The sequence below is a fragment of the Homo sapiens genome, chromosome 7, assembly GCF_000001405.40.
Source record: "Homo sapiens chromosome 7, GRCh38.p14 Primary Assembly".
In the NCBI taxonomy this organism is placed as follows: domain Eukaryota; kingdom Metazoa; phylum Chordata; class Mammalia; order Primates; family Hominidae; genus Homo; species Homo sapiens.
In genome coordinates, this window is record NC_000007.14 from 32,063,791 (window position 1) to 32,086,597 (window position 22,807).

Here is a 22,807-nt window from a genome sequence, read left to right on the forward strand (position 1 = left end):
CATGTAGCGTCCACATCACTTAGTCAGCAATTAATTATTGCCCTCTTTTTTGTTGTTGATTTTTAACCTTTTCACATGTATAAGACGTATCTTGTTTCCCTCAATATATTCTAAGTTTCCTGATGGTAAGGATTTTCTTCTGATATTTTCGTATCCCTTCTGAAGCTCCTAGCACCTAGTACATAATGGAAACCCAATAAAAATATGCTGAACGATCTGGCAATTCCAATTGAATGGGAGAGTAAAAGGACCAGTTAATACATTAAATATGTAATCTGGGGGAAACAAACAACAATTTTTTAAAGTATTCTCCTGGAATTGCTTTTCTGGTAAGATTCAGGTCAATGCCCTCTTCCCTGGGTCATCTCCTTGCAAGGATTTAATAATAAGAACCAAGATTCTCAGACCCACCACTCCAGGCCAAAGGTCTCTCCATGGCTCCATATTGCCATCACCAATAGCTACTTGAACATTCCAGAGGCTACCAATTTAACATATCTATACCCAAGTTTATCATTCTGCTTTATCCTAGCCTGCTCTTATCTCCATAGTCCCTAACGAGGCAAATAACACCAAATTCACTGAGACATCTAAGCTGAAAGAACTCAGAAGACAACAGCTCCTCTTTCTCTACTCTAAATCTATGTTCTGTCAATTCTCATTTCAAACATGCCCCCTGTTCTTTCATCTTCAGCAGCGCTACCCCAAATCAGGCATCTTCCCCAACTGGTCTCCAGGCCTCGAGTCGCATCTCCAATCTGTCCTCCACCCTTTTTCCAGAATTACAATCCTAAAATTCAAATCTAATTTTGTTACTCTCCAGCTTAACATCTTTTAACAATTTCTTATAACTGAAAGGATAAAACACAAACTTCTAAAAATATTATGTATCATAAAATATATATATATTTCTCTAGAAGATATGAAAGAACACCTAGAACACAGCACTTTTTTGTTGTATAGTAAAATGTGTTCAATTACTCACCTCCTCAAACTATGAGCATACATAATTTTGAGTAAAACAAAAAGTAAAATTTTTAAATGTCATGTATCACTACCCAGCCTCTGCCTTCCTTTCCAGCATCACCTCTCATGACTACACTTCTATCTGTCCCTCAGTACTGCACTAGATGAGCTGCAAGAGGACACCACACATTAAGCTTTTAAGGAAAGTAAGGCTCTTGGGAATTGATTAGTAGGAGAAGGTAATCCTGTTACCCAGACCAATTCAGGGGCCAACTACTTCTGACGGAACGGCGGTGGGGGGGGGGGGGAGGAGCCGGGGGCCAGTGAGGGGGAGGTGGTGAGATTTATCTCCAATAGCTCCATGTTGCATGACAGCAAACAGACCCAACCATACTCTCTCCTTAGGGAATTCTCAATGAGTGGTGAACATAGAGAAGGTTCACTAGAACACAAGCCATATCTCAGTTAAGTGCAAGCAGCTTTGCCAGTAGTCCCTAAGAACATCTCAGAAATCTCAACTAGTTTATTTTGGGCTGCCCGGAAGACTCCTTGTTTTTCTCTCATCTTTGTAAAAGGTTTCTTTGCATTTTTGCAAAAGGCTGACATCAATGAAAAGAGTCTAAGCAAGTTTCTTCCTTATGACTCTAATGAGTCTCCTAGAATGAATACACAATTCACTGTAGTCTGTAACACCTTCTCTGGCCCTCCCAGGTAGACGTAGCTTCCTTCGCATCCCCCTGGAACTATATTCATCACCTCCAGGTACTCATATCAGTCTCTGCCACTAGCCTTCAAATTGCTGAAAGTTAAGTAAGTATCTTACCTACTTTTGCAAACCCAGGGCTTAGCAAACTGACTGGCACCTAATAGACACTCAGTAAATGTTAATTGAGTAATCCCATGTTGCCTGAACACTAATTATATCATTTAAAAGTTCGGTTATATAGAAAGAAAACACAGAGAGGGCTTAAATAAGAAATTTAAAACCAAAGGTCCAGGCTTTGTTGCCTATGGCTTTTCTCCTCATCTTTGCTGTGTAGGTTGGAAGAGTCACTTAACTTCTCTGTACATCAATAGGGTATTAGTTAAGACTGTTTCAGAGAAACCAAATTCAAAACATCCTAAGCAAAAACAGAGTCTAACTAGCTCATGTAGCTGGGACAGCTGACAGAACTGGAGACACATCTACAGGAACTGGGACCTCCAGGAGCTGACCCAGGGATTCCCACTCCGTGTTTTCTGCTTCCTTTTGAGCACTAGCCTCACTGCCTCCTATCATAAAAGGTCTTCTCTATGAGGTGGGAAATGGATCCAATGGCAGCCCCATGAAAGTCCAGAAGAAAAGCAAAGCCTCCCTTTCCCACAGCCAATACAGAAATGTCAATGAGGGACTCTAATGCTTCTGTTTGGGATCCATACCCTACTTGAAACCAACTTTTATTACCTGGAAGGTGAATTCTGTGATTGGCCAGTCCTGTAGTATGCTGGGGTGAGGAGTAGAGTCTGTTAGCATAGTAAGGTGGATGGGAAGCTTGCTGCATAGACAAAAACAATAGTTGTTGCAGTCTATTAACTTAATAGCCATTCTCTTGCCTTTATATTAATAATGTTACTTTAGGTAATGCAAAAAAGCATCATCATCTTCATGGAGTGTTATATAAGCATAAAATTTATTATACCAACTACCTCATAGTTGGGCAAAATAAATATATGAGATTAGATAATTATAATTGTGATAATAAATGCCAAGGAATAAGTAAAACCTGCTCTCTTGCTCTCAGTTTTTAAAAAATGCAGCATAGAAACACGTTTCTGACATCATCTAGCAGGCTGGCAATAGAAAAACTTTTTGGTCGGGACCCAAGGTACAGTCATAACCCAATTGCTCAAACCCAAGGAGCCCTATGAGGCTTCATCAGGGGTATATAGAACACCCACAGCCCTGTTTCCCTGACTGAAAGATTCTGTAACAAAAAAGTAATTCAGAGGGACACAAAAAAGTAATTCAGAGGGACTCAAAAACTCTATCCAGTCCTCCAGAGAAAAGAGATATGACAACAGCTCATTGGGAGGAACTGAGGTTTATGGAAAAGGAAAAATGAGGCTCCTCTCCAAAGAGTAAGAGGACAGCATCCCTCTGAGAGTTCCAATTAAGAAAGCTCAGGTGTGCAGTATTTGTTTTCTTCTCACTTAGAGAAATGGGAGCATGTGCGTAAGCAGCATCAGGGCCACAGAGCAAGGCTGAGGACCAGCACCCTCCCTGGAAATCACAGCTAGCCTCTGAGCGTTAGTGTGCAGAACCTCGCTCAAGGGGCATGGGCGCCATCATCATAACAGACACCTGGGCTTGCAGGTGTCTATAATCCCAGCTAAGATAGAGTGTTTAAAACTCACATCTCCAATATTTGATGCACTGTTAGTATGCTGATGATGCTACAATGCTAAGAGTTATTCCTAATTCTTTCTTAGAGAAATATGTAAAACAGCTCTATGTTTCAAATATGTATTACTGTATACCGGGTGGAAGCGTAGGCACTGGGGATAAAAAGCAAACCAAAAGCAAGTGACCAAAGCAAACCAAAAACCCTGTCTTCATGGGGCTTATATTCTAGCTGGAGGAGACAGACAATAAACCTAAAAATAAATAAACTATACAGCATTCGGATGGTGGGAAGTGCTAGAGAAAAATAAAGCATGGCAGGGTATGGGTACGGGTTGGAATGTATAGGGGACACCTCCCTGCAATATACTTGGCTGTTGATTATTTGCAGGTGATAACCACAGAAATCCTCTTGCTCTGGTAAAGACTACCTCTCACCAGTGTGAAAGAGGGGCTATAAAGAAGGGAAAGAGAAAGCCCACATGATCACCACAGTGGGATTCAGCCCTGGGCCACAACTCTGCCACACATCTTGCCCATTTCCCACCTCAGTTTAGATTTCTGTGCCCCAACCTGGGCAATGATGTTAATAAAACCTGCATCCTAGCTAGCTCATGGCTCATTGTGTTGACAGGTCTCACGGCCATAAGCTGTCCTAAATATATATTTATCTTCATTTTGAATATTTAAAAGCTCACATTTGGGTTTTTATGCTTCACCACCTATTGATTGAGCATCTACTATGTGCTAAATGCTGTTCTAGGTATTGCAGTGAGTAAGTATGTGTCCTCATGGAACTTACATTCTAATGGAGGAGATGAAAAATTCAACAATAAATTAAATACGGGCGATACCAACAAGAAGGAGATGCGATAACATTGAATAATCCAGGCGTGAGTTGATGATCACATCCTGAAGTGAGATGTCTCTCAGACAAGCTGAACTGAATTCCTGACCATCTGTGGTCACCTACAGAGCCCTTTCTATAAAGGTGTCATGGTAATATATTGGTATGAAAATCCAATTATGGTTTGAGGCTTTCTAAAATGTTGAAAGAGCAGCTTCCTTTCTCTTACTGACAATCTGTTGTGTGGACAAATATGCACACACCCTTCCTTCCCCTAAGGGTTTCTATTTTGTGGACGGCAAAGTGTTATTCCAAGTTGTGGACTGCAAAAATGTTATTCCAAGTTGTATAAAAGAGTGTGTGCTTTGGTTTCCAGAGTCTTTAGCTATTTATTCTAGCACTGCTGTTATGTTTAAAAAGAAGAAGAAGAAGAAGTGGTAAGGATCACATACTGGTAAAAATATGTATAATAATAACAAATAATAGCATCTCCTTTTCAAATTAGAAAGTGAAGCTATAATCACCCCACACTTTTCATGTTCAAAAGCACTAGGTTCTGAGTAGATACAAGAGACTAGAAAATGAAAATGTAGTTACATTACACTGCAACACCTTGGAGAGAGAAGCCTAGCAGATATGAAACTGAGAAAGCTACACGACGCAGTGTTGTAAGTGCTAATGCTTTTCCACACAAGTTCCCGCCTCAGCATTGCTGATTTGACCAAACACTTGTCTCTAGCCCAAATGTCTCCATGGAGTCGGTTTAAATTGAAAAGCAGTCCAAGAGAAGAAGTTCCTGGGTGTATGGATATGAATCCCTCTAGTCAGCATGGCAAGGAATCCAGCTCGACAACGCTTTCACATTATACACTTTGGGCCCAGACTTTGTGGACACAACAAACTTTCTGTGTGCAGCACAATACAATCGGACGTAATGTTCACTAAATATAACATGAGATTACTGTAAACACCACTCCGAGAGCTGCTGCGTTGCAGGCATCTAAACTGTCAGGAAAGCCTGCCAGCCAGAGACAAGGTTTCCAAATAAATTTACAGTCTCCACTAGCGGTGGCTAGACAAGTCAAAAATCAAATTATTTGGCATGGTTTCCCATTGAAATCAATGGCAATGAAGCTCACTTGGACTATATATGGAATGGCTTTTATAAATTGCACCTGTCAATAAGGACCCCTTAAAGAAACACATACTACCTTAATGCTTCTCCTTAGAAACTTTGAATATCAAGCTAACTTAGATCAACACATTTTTTATTTGTCTTTTGTTTGTGTGTGTGCTTTCAAAAACAATAACAGCAGCAAAACAAACAAACTGGCAGGAAGCTGGTTTTCCCATCAGTGCCCTTGTTAGAAACAGAATGTCTAGAGAATATGCTTGGAGAAAAGCCATATTTTTAAACCACACTAGATATCTGATGCCAAATGACTGATGAAAGTAGTATCTAGTAGTAATGGAAGGTGTCTTTGGGACCTGCCCAGTGACTGAGGAGCAAGCTGTGAATATACAGCTATCCCTCAAGCTCCTGACTGGAGTGACCAGCAGTTCACTGATGATGAAATATTTTTACAGAAAATACCATGTATTTTCAGGTCACCTCTCCTCAGTACCCAAAAACAGACAGAACCCAATGAAGTGAATGAAATTCAGAGATCTCCATCCATCAGGGCAACTAGAATTCTGGCCACTCTATTTCATTGTTCAAATATTGCAAGAAAACCCCAATATCGTTTCTGCCCCCCCTTTCTCCACAAGAGCCTTTCCTTCTAGTAAACATTTCTCCACCAAAAAGAACCCCAGGAAATATCAGAAGTTCGACTGGGCTAAGGAGAGGGAAAAAAGAAATGTAGCAGCCAGAATGCATGTTGAATTTTAACTGTTGGTAAGTTCTTGGACCACCTGCCCAAGTGTATGCAAGCAGTTTGCAGAGAAAAATTCTTCCTTCAATTAAAAGTCCCTGTCTGGGTCTCAAACTTTTCTCCCTGGGCAAAAAGGATCAGAAACACCTCATTGAGTATTGGGCCACCATAACTGACTCATCAAAGGACATCTCTCCTTCCCCCCAAAAAAGCATGACTTGGAACAGCAAGGCATTCTAAGACAGAAAGACAACCCTCTCTGTGTTGGAAGAAAAGTAGCAGTGACTGTAATTAACAGAGCAGCAGTTGTGGAACTTCTAGGGTTGTATTTAAAGGCCCATGCAGGAACAGGGTGAGCAGTCGTGACTGCGGCTGTGTGGTAAAATAAGGATGGGAGCGGGAAATGGGGCAGGAGAAGTAAATAGGTATACTTACAGCCCGCGGAGCCGAAGCCAGATTTTCTCGATCTGTTCCGGTTGCAGGTATTTCAGAGAGTTGCTCTCAAATTCTTCAATCTCCTTGGTTGGCGACTCCATAGCTGCAGGTAGGTGACCACTGGCGGTGAAGCTGAGATAGTTTGGGCTGTCCCCTCCCCGTCTCCTCGCCCAGCTCGCGATGCCCAGCCAGGCGCGGCGCGCGTTTGCCCGGCACTTTCTCGGCGCGCTCCCCCTTCTGCGCCCCCAGACTCCGACTTAGAGCGGACTCCGATCGCGGCAAACCATGGCCCCAGGTGCGCTCCGGAGGCAGCTGCGGGAACCAGCCATGGTCCCGGGCTAATGCCCAGGGATAAGCACAGGGATAGGGATAGAGATAGGGATTGGGATTGGACTCCAGCTCCAAGAGAAAGCACCTCGGGTCTATTCGTATTCTCCCCCTACCCCCAAACAAAGCCACAGAAGCGATCAGCGCGCAGCTAAAGGGTTTGGAGGTGAAAAGGAGGGCTGGGTGGGGAGGAGAGAAAGTGAGAAGGGAGAGAAAAGCGGCGGCTGAGCAAAGCGGGAGCCGGCGCGGGCGGTGGGGCCTGACCCGGACGCCGCGCACCCGGCTCCGCCCCGCGCCCAGCGCCCCGCTCACTCCCTGGCCGCGCCTGCCTTCGCGCCCCTCTGTTTTCTCTCACTTACCAGCAGCTCTGCTGACAAGCGAGAAAACTGACAAGTGAGAAAAGTCGTCTGTCAGCGCCCGGGCTGGTGTCTGGGCTGTCACCGCGGGCGCGGAGGGAGGGGCGCGCGGGCACCGCCGTCTGCCGGGCACACGCTGGGCTCCGACCCCGGCCGGGCACACTCACCCCCGCAGGGCAGCCGCGGCCACCACCGACCTGCGGAGCTGCGTGGGCTTCCGGAACCCTCACCTCAACAAGAGCTCGGCTCCGCGCGCAAGTAGGAGGGAAGGGAAATCCTTATCCTCCCGGGGCCAGGGCACGCAGAAGCCGCGAGGCTTCGCGGAGGTTGGGCCTGGAGGTCCCCCACAGCCTCACTCTCGCACCCGCCACAGAACCGGATCCATTTTGAAATATTGAAGCGACTGATGGGGACGAAGGGAACCACACACCACACTCAAAAACTCTTGATGTTTTCTTGCTAAAGGGGCTCTCTCGCTCGCGCTCTCTCTCCTCCCTCATTCCCTCCCTCCCTCCCTTTCACCCCCCCACCCCCATCTCTCTCTCTTGTGCGGAAGAAAAGGAGAAAATATACCAATAGTGAGGAGGTAAGTTTCTTCAGATCAATATCACACGCTACTCAAGAGGGTCCCTCCTGGGTGCTGGCTGGGCGGCTGTGGATGGTGACAAAGTTTCAGCTCCACAAAGCTGCAACTCACTGTCAGGGTTCCCCTAGTTCATGAACAATGTCAATAAGGTAGAATGCTCTGGAAGAACGGGACCAGGTATGAAGTTGGGAGTCAGGGAGGGAGGACAGATGAAGAGAGGAACCAAAGACTGGGGGAATCCATGCCCAAGATGATTGCAAGCGACATCACAGAAGGGTCCGTCAAACTTCCTTCTAGGTGAAGCCACCACCAGGGGCTATTTCAAACCTGGCTCTCAGGGTTCCTGAGATTCAGGGTGGGGCATGCCCTATACAGTATTTTTCCTCAATGACAGGTAATACTTCTTTCCATCACACTCTCAGAATTATTTTCCTATCTATTAGATGATTACCTGCTTCCCAAAAGCATGATAAACTTAGAAGTGAGGACTAGTTTCTCTTCACTGCTCAAGTAAAGTTCCATTCACCTGACCTTAACAAAGGAATAAAATGGTCTCTAAATCATAAATGCTCACCCACTTCATAATTGGCATTCATTTTCCAGAACTTAGAGGTGAGAGTGATGAGGATGCTTGGCTGGCCCCATGCATTCTAGCAGAGAAGGTAGTAACTCAAGGTAAGACAAAAGACCTGTTTGATGAAAAACGACTTACCTACTCACCTGCCAGGTAAATCTGAAGTCGCCCCATTAAAGGCAGCCTTTTAAGGTTTATGGAGGCGCATATATTTTCACTGAGTTAAGGTATTATTACTAGGCAATGGTAACATTAAGCAATATTTTAACATGGAGTTCATCTATCTGAATAAAACCAATTACCCTTCCAGTGTCACCCAGCAGAGAAACAGTGCCCTGGGGAAATAGAATGTCACAAGAGGAAATTTTTATAGTGACGTGTTTTGAGAATGGAAGACAGCAGCATGGTCCCCAAATGGGGTATTTCCATTAGTGTGTGCACCTTGGGCAGCCTGCTGGCACCATGTGGAAGTACAATAATGATAATAACAGCAAACAAGTGTCAGAAACTTTCCATAGCCCAAGCATTGTTCTAAGTGTTCTACTCTCATGTAATACTCGAGACTATTCTATGAGGTAGATACTATTATTATCATCCCCATTTTACAGTAAGAAAACTGAAGCACCAGGAGGCTTCCTAGACCAACTAGAGAGAAAACTGAACTAGAAAAGACCAGAGTTTGAGTTATGGCTGATTACCTTATCCTATACAAATACATCCCCCTCACAGAGTCCCATTTTCCACATCTATAAAGTGATACATTTAGGCAAAAATATTTTTATGTTGTTTTCAGCTTTATGATTCATTGAGGTCATCTGGAGAGACTTGGAAAAAGAAATTGCTGAAAAGAGAGACGAATAATGCTGAATTCACATTTTAACTATGTCATAGTTTCTCTAAGTACTGGCCTAGGATGAAAATATACAAAGGAATATTAAGCATGATACTTACCTTTCACTCCATACCACATCTATGACTTTTTCCTACTCTTAGTGGAATTTTGATTGTCAGAGAAAAGCAAATTTTGGAAGAAAAAGGAAAGAAATCGACTTTTGCTGCAATTAAGCAAATCAGAGAGAAAAGAGCAAAAACATTTTTTTTAAGTTTTTGAAGCTAGATTTTGTTTCATTTGAGAAAATTTCTTACAAAATTAATGTGTATTAGAAAGTCAGGAAAAATATAACTTTGCTTTATCTACAGCCATAATAGTCTTTAGAGCAGGAAGGAGCCCAAAAGACAACACAGTTTGGAGGTTTTCAAATTTTTGAAGCAACAGAATATTTTATTTTAAATAATATAAGGAACTCAAATGCATAACTCAGCTTTAAAAAATAAAGATAGAGTGGCTCCAGTTGAATGGGGAAGGGAAGTAGTTAGTTCTCAAGTACAGAGTCCACCTCTGCCTCCTCTTTACCCCAGCTCTTAGTGCCCAATGCTCCCACTTTACAGATGAGAAAACTGAGGCCAAAATACCACAAAACAACTAAGGATTCCTTGCTCCTAAACCACATTAGAAAACAACTTTGTCTTCTCTCTGCCAACAAAATACTACTATTTTTAGATGCACCATGTTACTACGTCACTCAGATTGTGTTCTCTCTTCATCTATCACAGCCAAAGTATGCTTGATAGTTGCAGCAACACCACAAGCCACAATTTCTACTAGCATTCTGCTCAGAGGCAAGCAAAAAGAAACAGATGCAAATAGACCTGGAAACAAAAGGTCTAAGAAAACACAAAGCCACTCACAACTTTGCTTTACAGTTTAATTTCCTTTGTTTCTTCCTAACCCAGATTTTTCAGTAAAACTGTTTAGGAAACATTACATGGTCAAACATCACTAAATGCATATAGACATGCATACATACATACATATATATATATGCACAGGCACATATACATTCATGTATGCATGCATACATACATATAACCAACAATTTAAAGTACTCCTGCAAATTCACACAGAGTAACTAAGTCTATGGACTAGCCAACCTCTGCACTGTCAGAATTAAGTATCACAAAAGATTAGGAAGAAAGTGAGCTACCTGTCCCAGAGTTCAAGGGGAAGCTAGATGTTAATCTGATAAAAAAAAATAGGAATCAGGCTTTGAAGGCATGAGAATGACCCCCCTGGTCTCTTTCATTGCTAAGATTTCATGGTTCATTTATAATCACAATAACCACATCTACCACCCTACCAGTTTTTGAGAACTATCATTTGCCAAGCACCATGGCAGGCACATCACAGGTTGATCCATTTCATCCCCAACAAAATACTTTAGCATAGTTTAATTATGCTCATTTACAAGTAAAGACAGAAAGGGCTCCCAATGGTCAGATAACTTCTGCAAAGACATACAGCTAATACATGGCACAGCAGGTTCCAAACCCAGACCAAAAGGCAAAGCTCATGTTCTCTTGCCTTTGCTATACCACCTCCCTGCAGACACGCAAAAACTCTAGTAAAGAGGTATATAATAGAGAAGGTACGGAAAGGAGCAGGAGCATGGATGAGGGGATCATTCATGCTGTGGGGAAATTAGGAAGGCTTCATAGTGAAGGTGACATTTGAACTGGATCTTGAAAGTAGGTGGAGTAGAAATTGTTTGCATGAAAGGTGGGTGGAGGCAGGTGATTCCAGAGAGAGGGCACTGCATGAAAAGAGGCACAGAAACATGGTAACGGGTAGGGTGTCCTGCAATCCACAAACGTTTTGTGTGGTGTGTCTGTGAATGTGACACGGAACAGAAAGAGAAAATGCTGGAATGATCAGCCATTCTCTTGTTGTCATGGAAGAAGCTTGGGCTCTCTCCTATAGATGTCAGGGAGCCATGGGCACATCTAAACAGTGAGAGGCATGGCCACATGTGGAGGGTACCTGCTGCCCTGAATATGCCAAGGGCATTGTGCACAGAGGTCAGCTCTCCAGGAAGCTGCCACAGGAGCATGCAACAACTATGGTGCAAATGATAACCAGGGCTGCAGAAGAGAAATCCAGTGACCAACTGCAAACAAGCTCCTCCGCTTACAAACAAGGAAGAGTAGAAAAAGGAAAATAGGCAAATCAGAAAGAGCAAAGCTTTTTTTCTTTCAGCTATGAGATGATGACTACTTGCTTTGACCTCCATGAAGCCAGCCTATGCCCTTGATCCATTTTTCACGACTTGGCAGTGGCATCATGAAGAGAGTCTGTTGAGGGGGAAATTCTGGAGACACATTTAGGACATCAGAAGTAGCACCACCAGGCACAGCAGCCCCTCCTCCCCGCCCACACCAGATGTGAGGCGGCCCCCACAATGTTCTGTCAACAGAGGCTGTTCTCTCTCACTGGCTTCCTTTGTGGGGAAAGGGGCCTCTTTGGCGACACTGTTACCCTGCTTCTCCCTCTGACGTCTTTTTCTGTTTGATTTTATAATTTGGGGCAGACTCTGTCTCAGGAACCACCTTCCCTAGAAAAAAGAGGTGAAAGAAAAGGCAGAGGACTGGCTAAGCCCAGAGGTACCCCCACTCTAGCCCCCCTCTGAAATGGGGCTCTGAATAGCCAGAATCTCAACTACATTACCAAGTAGTGGCCCAGAGAAGTGAGAAGACAAAGAGATAGAAGAGATAGGGCAGCTCAGGGGCAGCCCGATGTAGTCTGCATGTGACCCACAGTTTCTGCGCCTCTCTCTGCCAGGATCCTTCAGTTGCTCCCACAAGAGAAGCTTACATAATCCTTCCGATAGAGGTGGCACAGGCAAAGGAAAGGACTTGGAGTGGTACTGCCTCACCACGCCACCTAGGATAAGACCCTTCTCTTGTTTGGCCATGGTTGGGTTGGGCTCAGGGACCTCTGGATCCCTTTCCAATGCTCACATACCCTAATGTTCCATCAACAGAGGCATGGTTAGTCTGGCCTGGGCTAACCAAGCTTTTCACGGACCCAAAAAAGCTGCAGGAAAACCTGAGTCTGCCCCCGCAGGCCAGATTTGACTATAATAGACATAACCTAGATTGTCCAACCAGAACCATGGACCCCATACCTATGGATAGAGTGATTGGTCCAGGGGGTGATATGTGACTGAAACAGATCTGGTCCTTATGGGAGATTTGATGTGGCCCCTAGGAAAGAGATGGTCTATTTCTCTTTTCTTTGAGAAACAAGCCATATGGCTTGAAGTTATCTTAGCCATGGGGTTATCTTTTCACCATGTGGAGAGAATATACCAGAAAAATGACATCAGGGCTGGGTGCAGTGGCTCATGCCTGTAATCCCAGCACTCTGAGAGGCCGACGTGGCCGGATCACCTGAGGTCAGGAGTTCAAGACCAGCCTGGCCAAGATGGCAAAACCCCATCTCTACGAAAAAAATATAAAAATTAGCTGGGCATGGTGGCACACGCCTGTAATCCCAGCTGCTCAGAAGGCTAAGGCACAAGAATTGCTTGAACCTGGGAGGCGGAGGTTGCAGTGAGCTGAGATCACACCACTGCACTCCAGCCTGGGCGACAGAGTGAGACTCCATCTCAAAAAAAAAAAAAAAGAAAAAAAGAAAAAAGAAAAAAAAATGACATCAACACAGAAAAAGCTGAGAGAAGAACTAGAGAGACAAAGAAAAACAATGTGAAAGGGTCCATTGAGCCCCCTGATCCTGCTATGCCTGAAGCCAGAATGCCCATTGACTTTTAGGTTATATGAACAAAATAAATGTACCCCACCAATTTTTTTTAACTTAAACTAGTTTGAGTCAGAGTTATGTTACTGACAACTAAAAGAATGCCAACTAATAATACAATTATTCCTTATAGGAATGTTGTAAGGAGAAAAAAAAAAAAAACAGGGCCGGGCACAGTGGCTCACGCCTGTAATCCCAGTACTTTTGGAGGCCGAGGCAGGCAGATTGCCTGAGGTCAAGAGTTCAAGGCAAGCCTGGCTACCATGGTGGTGTAACCCAATCTCTACTAAAAACACAAAAAGTAGCCAGGCGTGGTGGCACATTCCTGTAGTCCCAGCTACTCAGGAAGCTGAGGCAGGAGAATCACTTGAACCTGGAAGGCAGAAGTTGCAGTGAGCCGAGATTATGCCACTGCACTCCAGCCTGGGCAGCAAAACAAGATTCTATCTTAAAAAACAAACAAACAAACAAAAAATCACGTATGGCCAGTGCCTTGTACATTGGAGGTTCTCATAAAATAGTAGTGCTTCTTCCATCTCATCCATCTGGCAGGACACAAAGGGACAGAAACTGGAACACTATAAAGGGATCTAGGGGTGGGCAGAGCACCCAAGGTAAATAGAAAAAGCCTGTATTATCTTGATAAATAGATATACCGATAATTTTCTTTCAGTTACATTTTGATAATGACCTATCAAATCATTGCTATATTACATACATTAATCCCTCAGAACAAACCTGAAGTGAATGAAAACACTTTATTTACTTTTTTAATTTATTTTATTTATTTATTTTTTTTGAGACAGAGTTTCGCTCTTGTTGCCCAGGCTGGAGTGCAGTGGTGTGATCTCGGCTCACTGCAACCTCTCCCTCCCAGGTTCAAGCAATTCTCTGCCTCAGCCTCCTGAGTAGCTGGGATTACAGGCACCCACCACCACACCCGGCTAATTTTTGTATTTTTAGTAGAGACGGGGTTTCACCATCTTGGCCAGGCTGGTCTTTAACTCCTGACTTCAGGATCCACCTGCCTCGGCCTCCCAAAATGCTGGGATTACAGGCATACTTTATTATTATTATTACCTCCAGTTTAGAAATGAGGTGGTGAAGGTCCAAGAAGTCTGCCAGCTTCCCTCCGGCTGGTCTGCTCTCCTCCAGCTAGTGGCAGGGCAGCAAGACAGTGCAGGCCTCCTGACTTCTGGCTCCGTGGACATTCTGCCTCTCAGAATACACTGCCAACCCAGTATAATTAACTTGGCTGTACTAATGAAATTGAAATTTTTGTTCACGTAAAACTGCTGATGCTACAAGTCAGCCAAATTCTGACCCAAAGGTACATAAATCAGCGGGTTGTTCTTCCTATCACTGTAAAGCAAATTTGAATATGGAAAAACCTCAGAGCTGAAAGGGATCTTTATCCAAGCTCCTAATTCTTCAGATAAGGAACGAGCAGCTCAATCACATGCAGTCACCACACAAGTTGGCAGCAGAGCTTGGACCAGAAGTGATGTCCCTGAACTCCCAGCCCAGTGCTCCACTGTCTCTAAACTTTCTGTGGGATCAAGAATGGCTCCCACTTCCAACGGAGGACTGGTTCAATGGTTTGCTCAGTTAAGAAAAGATGCCCACTAAAAAGCATAGGCTGTTGGTAAATGCTTCTTGAAGAAAGGAGGTCTCTTGGGGAATTGGTAGAAGTAGAGAAGAAAGGCTCCAGGAAAGTGGAAAGGTCCACAGCAGCCTAGATAATAACAGAGAACCTGATGTGATGGGTGTAAGAGGGTCAAGAAAGGGACACTGGGCAACGGCTATACATGCAGACTGAAGGGGCCTGGACTACCGTATTAAAGTTTAGGCTTGGCCAGGCATGGTAGCTCACACCTATAATCCCGGCACTTTGGGAGGCCGAGGCAGGAGGATCTCATGAGGCTAGGAGTTGGAGATCAGCCTGGGCAACATGGGAAGACCCTGTCTCTACAAAAAATTTTTAAAAATTAGCCAGGTGTGGTGGTGCACACCTGTGGCCCTGGCTACTAGGGAGGCTAAGCTGGGAGGATTGCTTGAGCCCAGGGGTCAAGGCTGCAATGAGCCATGATCACAGGATTACACTCCAGCCTTGGCAACAGAGCAAGACTCACTCTCTCAAAAAAAAAAAAAAGAAAATGCTAAGGCTTTATACTCTTGCCAATAGGGAAGCATTAAAATCTGTTGAGCAGGTGTGTAGGAGATGCAAAGTGGAAGTTTGATTTGCAAAGAAGGATTTAAAAACAGGATTTTCGAAGGTTGTTTTTGAAAGGCCACCAAAGGTGAAGATTTACAGATTCTTTTCTCTGTATCTGGAGGGAAATGATCTCACAAAACAAATAAATGCTGGAACCTTTTAAATTCATTCATTCGTTCAACAAACATTGGCTGAGTGCCTACTATGTGCTGCACACTCTGTGATACTAGGTATACAATGGTCAATTAAAATACTCCAGTTTTGCACCATGGATCTTTAATCTAATTGGGAAAACAGATACTAAACAGATTATAAAACAACAGATGCATCACTGTAAAGGTAAAGGGTGCTGAAAAGAAAAACAGGGTGCAGTGCAGAGAACAAAAGGAATATGATTTATTTATAAATAGGGTGGCATTTCAGCTATATTGCTGTGTAACAAACTATCCTCAAAATTCAGTGGCTTTTTAAAACAACCAATTTTTCTCTCTCATGATCCTGTGGGTTGGCCAGGTAGTTCTTCTGTTGGTCTTGTTTGGGGTCTGCCATGCAGCTGTAGCCAGATGGCAACCCGGGCTAGAATATCCAATATGGTTTCACTCACATGTCTGGTGCTTTGGCAGGGACAGCTGGAAGGCTGAGACCTCTCTCTTTCTCCACACGGTTTCTCCTCGTGGTCTCAGCATGTAGCTAAATTAGGCTCCTGTACATGGCAGCTAGATTGCAAGTGCAAGTGTGCCAAGAGTGGGGAGGCAGGAGCGGCCAGTCCTCTTACGGGCTAAGCCTAGGACCGGCACAACATCACTTCTGCTACACTGGGTTGGTTAAAGCAATCACAGAGCTAGCCCTGATTCAACAGAAGAAATAAACCCCACCTCTTGATGCAGGGTGTGGGGAGGGAGTGATACAGATACTTGCAGCCATCTTTAATACACCCAAGTGGTCACGGATGGCCTCCACAAGCAGGTGACATTTGATCTAAGACCTGAAGGAAAAGGAGACAGCCAGTTAACAGGCAAGAGTAGGAGGAAAATATTTCTGACAAGAGGGAACAACATGTGCAAAGATTATTAAGCAGGGAGAAGCTTGAGGAGTTGAAGGGCTTATAAGGAGCTAAGTTGTGGCAGGAGCAATGTGGCAAGGGGAGAGTGGCCTGTGATGAGGTCAGGAGGCAGGCGGGTGGGGACAACAGAAAAATATTGGGTACAGATTTAGGGACCCATTCAACTGTAGTCTTCTAGAGGGCAGAGATCCCAAAAGTCTTGTTCACCACTGTCCCCTGTCCCCCTGACCTTCCCTCCAACCCCCTATGCCTAACATACCAATTGACCAATGACCAATTGGGCTTCTCAGACAAGTACTGTGAAATTTATTTCATTTATGGCACAAAGTTAGTGATTCCTAGCACATACATTATACTCAAAGAGCAAACCTCAGACATGGACACAAACTTGAGTGTTCTACTAGACCTGAAGATGTGGAGCTACTCAGGGAAACGCAAAAAGCACTGACCAGAGTTACCTTTCAGTGCATAAAGGGTTAATTTTCAATTATCTGATTAGCTGCACCTTTCAGCTATCTGGCGGAGAATTACTGTTCCTTGCACCCTCCAGATAAGTGAAATGTTACTTTTCATGTGACTCAGCACACAAGGGGAATGAGGGATATTAACTACTCCTGACAGTGTTTTCAAAATTGTCCTTGGGGACATCTAAATGGTCCATGCTGGTCCCTGTGATTCTCAGAAGTGAAAGGATTTTAATACTCAGGAGAATAAAAGAATATAAAAGAATAACATATCTATGAATGCCTTCCACCCACATGCTTTTAACAGATTCTTGCTAATAAAAAAGACCCTGAAGGCACTGTGACTCGGCCCATAATCCTTCACTCTTAGACTGACAGACCCATCAGAAGTTGACATGTGCATATATTTCTACTCCTGAGATATAAACTGGCTTCTATGAGCAGGGAGTGGGACTTGATTTATGGAGAGGCATAGAAACTTAGGGACACAATTTAAAAGTAATTAACATGGAAAGCCAATCTTAGCAAAAGACTCTCAAACTGCTTATGTGCTGCCAGTACCGCCATGGAAACAGGTGGACTCTCACACGTAGAGCTATGTGGCTTCCCTGCTGCCTTAGCTAAATGTAAATGAAGAAATGAAAATTGTTCTCCTCAATGGGATTTAGGAAGCACTTGGGAATTTTAATGAAAGCATTGAAAGGAAAGAGTGCTGAGTCCTTGAAAACAGCTCCCATCAAGTCAATTAAGACCATGTTAGAAACCATTCTGCCTTCACTATGGGCAGAGCCAACAGAGACTTCTGAATCAATGAGTCTCTTTTTAAGAAATATTTCATTTAATACTTTCCCTCCCCTACCTAGGCATAAAGAGCATTTGTGAAAATCAGTCCCATTCTCACCCATTCATATAACATAGCAGAAGTACCCACTGCATCCTGCCCTGAAATCAGACTTATTTGCCATGGAGTTTCCTACTGATAACTGGATATTTCCTATACTCCTATTCTACACAGAATTCAACCTATCAGAATCTAATCACTCTGCCAGATCAATGCTCAGCAATTCCTAAGGATGCTGCTATTACCTGGGACTTTTGACCACTTTTTCTCTTCATTTATTGCCAGATTCATCATCTCAAACAATGAGGTGGAATTAGTTGGTTAAGAGAGGAAATTTTAATGCATGACCTTTTCAAACCCCTCTGCCTTCCATAGTGAAATCTAACTTGGTTAAGGATTTATTGATAGAGGGCTGGTCATTGACTGCTGGTAACCTCAGGAGATTTATTTAATAACCATGGCTTTTAGAAGCAACATTCATATCAAAATGAAAATGTGGAGAAAAATTCAGAAGACAGCCAAATAGGAACAGCTCCGGTCTACAGCTCCCAGAGTGAGCGACGCAGAAGATGGGTGATTTCTGCATTTCCATCTGAGGTACCAGGTTCATCTCACTAGGGAGTGCCAGATAGTGGGTGCAGGACAGTGGGTGCAGCGCACCATGCGCGAGCCAAAGCAGGGCGAGGCATTGCCTCACTCCAGAAGTGCAAGGGGTCAGGGAGTTCCCTTTCCTAGTCAAAGAAAGGGGTGACAGACGGCACCTGGAAAATCGGGTCACTCCCACCCTAATAATGCGCTTTTCCGACGGGCTTAAAAAACGGTGCACCAGGAGATTATATCCCGCACATGGCTCTGAGGGTCCTACGCCCACGGAGTCTCGCTGATTGCTAGCACAGCAGTCTGAGATCAAACTGCAAGGTGGCAGCGAGGCTGGGGGAGGGGCGCCCGCCATTGCCCAGGCTTGCTTAGGTAAACAAAGCAGCCGGGAAGCTCGAACTGGGTGGAGCCCACCACAGCTCAAGGAGGCCTGCCTGCCTCTGTAGGCTCCACCTCTGGGGACAGGGCACAGACAAACAAAAAGACAGCAGTAAACTCTGCAGACTTAAATGTCCCTGTCTGACAGCTTTGAAGAGAGCAGCATGCAGCTGGAGATCTGAGAACGGGCAGACTGCCTCCTCAAGTGGGTCCCTGACCCCTGACCCCTGAGCAGCCTAACTGGGAGGCACCCCCCAGTAGGGGCAGACTGACACCTCACACGGCTGGGTACTCCTCTGAGACAAAACTTCCAGAGGAACCATCGGACAGCAGCATTCGCGGTTCACCAAAATCCACTGTTCTGCAGCCACCGCTACTGATACCCAGGCAAACAGCGTCTGAAGTGGACCTCTAGCAAACTCCAGCAGACCTGCAGCTGAGGGTCCTGTCTATTAGAAGGAAAACTAACAAACAGAAAGGACATCCACACCAAAAACCCATCTGTACATCACCATCATCAAAGACCAAAAGTAGATAAAACCACAAAGATGGGGAAAAAACAGAGCAGAAAAACTGGAAACTCTAAAAAGCAGAGCACCTCTCCTCCTCCAAAGGAACGCAGTTCCTCACCAGCAATGGAACAAAGCTGGACGGAGAATGACTTTGACGAGTTGAGAGAAGAAGGCTTCAGACGATCAAACTACTCTGAGCTACAGGAGGAAATTCAAACCAAAGGCAAAGAAGTTAAAAACTTTGAAAAAAATTTAGACGAATGTATAACTAGAATAACCAATACAGAGAAGTGCTTAAAGGAGGATGAAGCTGAAAGCCAAGGCTTGAGAACTACGTGAAGAATGCAGAAGCCTCAGGAGCCAATGCGATCAACTGGAAGAAAGGGTATCAGTGATGGAAGATGAAATGAATGAAATGAAGTGAGAAGGGAAGTTTACAGAAAAAAGAATAAAAAGAAATGAACAAAGCCTCCAAGAAATATGGGACTATGTGAAAAGATCAAACCTACGTCTGATTGGTGTACCTGAAAGTGACAGGGAGAATGGAACCAAGTTGGAAAACACTCTGCAGGATATTATCCAGGAGAACTTCCCCAGTCTAGCAAGGCAGGCCAACACTCAGATTCAGGAAATACAGAGAATGCCACAAAGATACTCCTCAAGAAGAGCAACTCCAAGACACATAATTGTCAGATTCACCAAAGTTGAAATGAAGCAAAAAATGTTAAGGGCAGCCAGAGAGAAAGGTCGGATTACCCACAAAGGGAAGCCCATCAGACTAACAGCAGATCTCTCTGCAGAATCTCTACAAGCCAGAAGAGAGTGGGGTCCAATATTCAACATTCTTAAAGAAAATAATTTTCAACCCAGAATTTCATATCCAGCCAAACTAAGCTTCATAAGTGAAGGAGAAATAAAATACTTTACAGACAAGCAAATGCTGAGAGATTTGGTCACCACCAGGCCTGCCCTAAAAGAGCTCCTAAAGGAAGCACTAAACATGGAAAGGAAAAACCGGTACCAGCTGCTGCAAAATCATGCCAAAATGTAAAGACCATCGAGACTAGGAAGAAACTACATCAACTAACGAGCAAAATAACCAGCTAACATCATAATGACAGGATCAAATTCACACATAACAATATTAACTTTAAATGTAAATGGACTAAATGCTCCAATTAAAAGACACAGACTGGCAAATTGGATAAAGAGTCATGACCCATCAGTGTGCTGTATTCAGGAAACCCATCTCACGTGCAGAGACACACATAGGCTCAAGATAAAAGGATGGAGGAAGATCTACCAAGCAAATGGAAAACAAAAAAAGGCAGGGGTTGCAATCCTAGTCTCTGATAAAACAGACTTTAAACCAACAAAGATCAAAGGAGACAAAGAAGGCCATTAGATAATGGTAAAGGGATCAATTCAACAAGAAGAGCTAACTATCCTAAATATATATGCACCCAATACAGGAGCACCCAGATTCATAAAGCAAGTCCTGAGTGACCTACAAAGAGACTTAGACTCCCACACAATAATAATGGGAGACTTTAACACCCCACTGTCAACATTAGACAGATCAACGAGACAGAAAGGTAACAAGCATACCCAGGAATTGAACTCAGCTCTGCACCAAGCAGACCTAATAGACATCTACAGAACTCTCCACCCCAAATCAACAGAATATACATTTTTTTCAGCACCACACCACACCTATTCCAAAATTGCACACATAGTTGGAAGTAAAGCTCTCCTCAGCAAATGTAAAAGAACAGAAATTATAACAAACTGTCTCTCAGACCACAGTACAATCAAACTAGAACTCAGGATTAAGAAACTCACTCAAAACCACTCAACTACATGGAAACTGAACAACCTGCTCCTGAATGACTACTGGGTACACAATGAAATGAAGGCAGAAATAAAGATGTTCTTTGAAACCAATGAGAACAAAGACACAACATACCAGAATCTCTGGGACGCATTCAAAGCAGTGTGTAGAGGGAAATTTATAGCACTAAAAGCCCACAAGAGAAAGCAGGAAAGATCCAAAATTGACACCCTAATATCACAATTAAAAGAACTAGAAAAGCAAGAGCAAACACATTCAAAAGCTAGCAGAAGGCAAGAAACAACTAAAATCAGAGCAGAACTGAAGGAAATAGAGACACAAAAAACCCTTCAAAAAATTAATGAATCCAGGAGCTGGTTTTTTGAAAGGATCAACAAAATTGATAGACCGCTAGCAAGACTAATAAAGAAAAAAAGAGAGAAGAATCAAATAGACGCAATAAAAAATGATAAAGGAGATATCACCACGGATCCCACAGAAATACAAACTACCATCAGAGAATACTACAAACAACTCTACGCAAATAAACTAGAAAATCTAGAAGAAATGGATAAATTCCTCGACACATACACCCTCCCAAGACTAAACAAAGAAGAATTTGAATCTCTGAATAGACCAATAACAGGCTCTGAAATTGTGGCAATAATCAATAGCTTACCAACCAAAAAGAGTCCAGGACCAGATGGATTCACAGCCAAATTCTACCAGAGGTACAAGGAGGAACTGGTACCATTCCTTCTGAAACTATTCCAATCAATAGAAAAAGAGGGAATCCTCCCTAACTCATTTTCTGAGGCCAGCATCATCCTGATACCAAAGCCAGTCAGAGACACAACCAAAAAACAGAATTTTAGACCAATATCCTTGATGAACATTGATGCAAAAATCCTCAATAAAATACTGGCAAACCGAATCCAGCAGCACATCAAAAAGCTTATCCACCATGATCAAGTGGGCTTCATCCCTGGGATGCAAGGCTGGTTCAATATACACAAATCAATAAATGTAATCCAGCATATAAACAGAACCAAAGACAAAAACCACATTATTATCTCAATAGATGCAGAAAAGGCCTTTGACAAAATTCAACAACATTTCATGCTAAAAACTCTCAATAAATTAGGTATTGATGGGACGTATCTCAAAATAATCAGAGCTATCTATGACAAACCCACAGCCAATATCATACTGAATGGGCAAAAACTGGAAGCATTCCCTTTGAAAACTGACACAAGACAGGGATGCCCTCTCTCACCACTCCTATTCAACATAGTGCTGGAAGTTCTGGCCAGGGCAATCAGGCAGGAGAAGGAAATAAAGGGTATTCAATTAGGAAAAGAGGAAGTCAAATTGTCCCTGTTTGCAGATGACATGATTGTATATCTAGAAAACCCCACTGTTTCAGCCCAAAATCTCCTTAAGCTGATAAGCAACTTCAGCAAAGTCTCAGGATATAAAATCAATGTACAAAAATCACAAGCATTCTTATACACCAATAACAGACAAACAGAGAGCCAAATCATGAGTGAACTCCCATTCACAATTGCTTCAAAGAGAATAAAATACCTAGGAATCCAACTTACCAGGGACATGAAGGACCTCTTCAAGGAGAACTACAAACCACTGCTCAATGAAATAAAAGAGGATACAAACAAATGGAAGAACATTCCATGTTCATGGGTAGGAAGAATAAATATCGTGAAAATGGCCATACTGCCCAAGGTAATTTATAGATTCAATGCCATCCTCATCAAGCTACCAATGACTTTCTTCACAGAATTGGAAAAAACTACTTTAAACTTCATATGGAACCAAAAAAGAGCCTGCATCGCCAAGTCAATCCTAAGCCAAAAGAACAAAGCTGGAGGCATCACGCTACCTGACTT

At 43.4% G+C, this 22,807-nt stretch overlaps 1 protein-coding gene across 25 annotated transcripts in view; it reads right to left on the minus strand.

The window, feature by feature from the left end:
- Positions 1–22,807, minus strand: part of PDE1C (phosphodiesterase 1C) — an 811,448-nt gene that overhangs the window by 447,014 nt on the left and 341,627 nt on the right. For 4 of the 25 annotated variants that reach the window (XR_007060044.1, XR_007060042.1, NM_001191059.4 and 1 more), the window contains exons 1-2: positions 7,189–7,238; positions 6,503–6,605 (exon numbers count right to left, since the gene is read on the minus strand). The exons of 9 other annotated variants lie outside the window; for them this stretch is intronic. Coding sequence is in view for 13 of the 16 variants with exons in the window: in NM_001191059.4 (NP_001177988.1) it covers positions 6,503–6,603 (101 nt within the window). In the remaining 3 variants the exon portion in view is untranslated. 25 annotated transcript variants of the gene reach the window in all.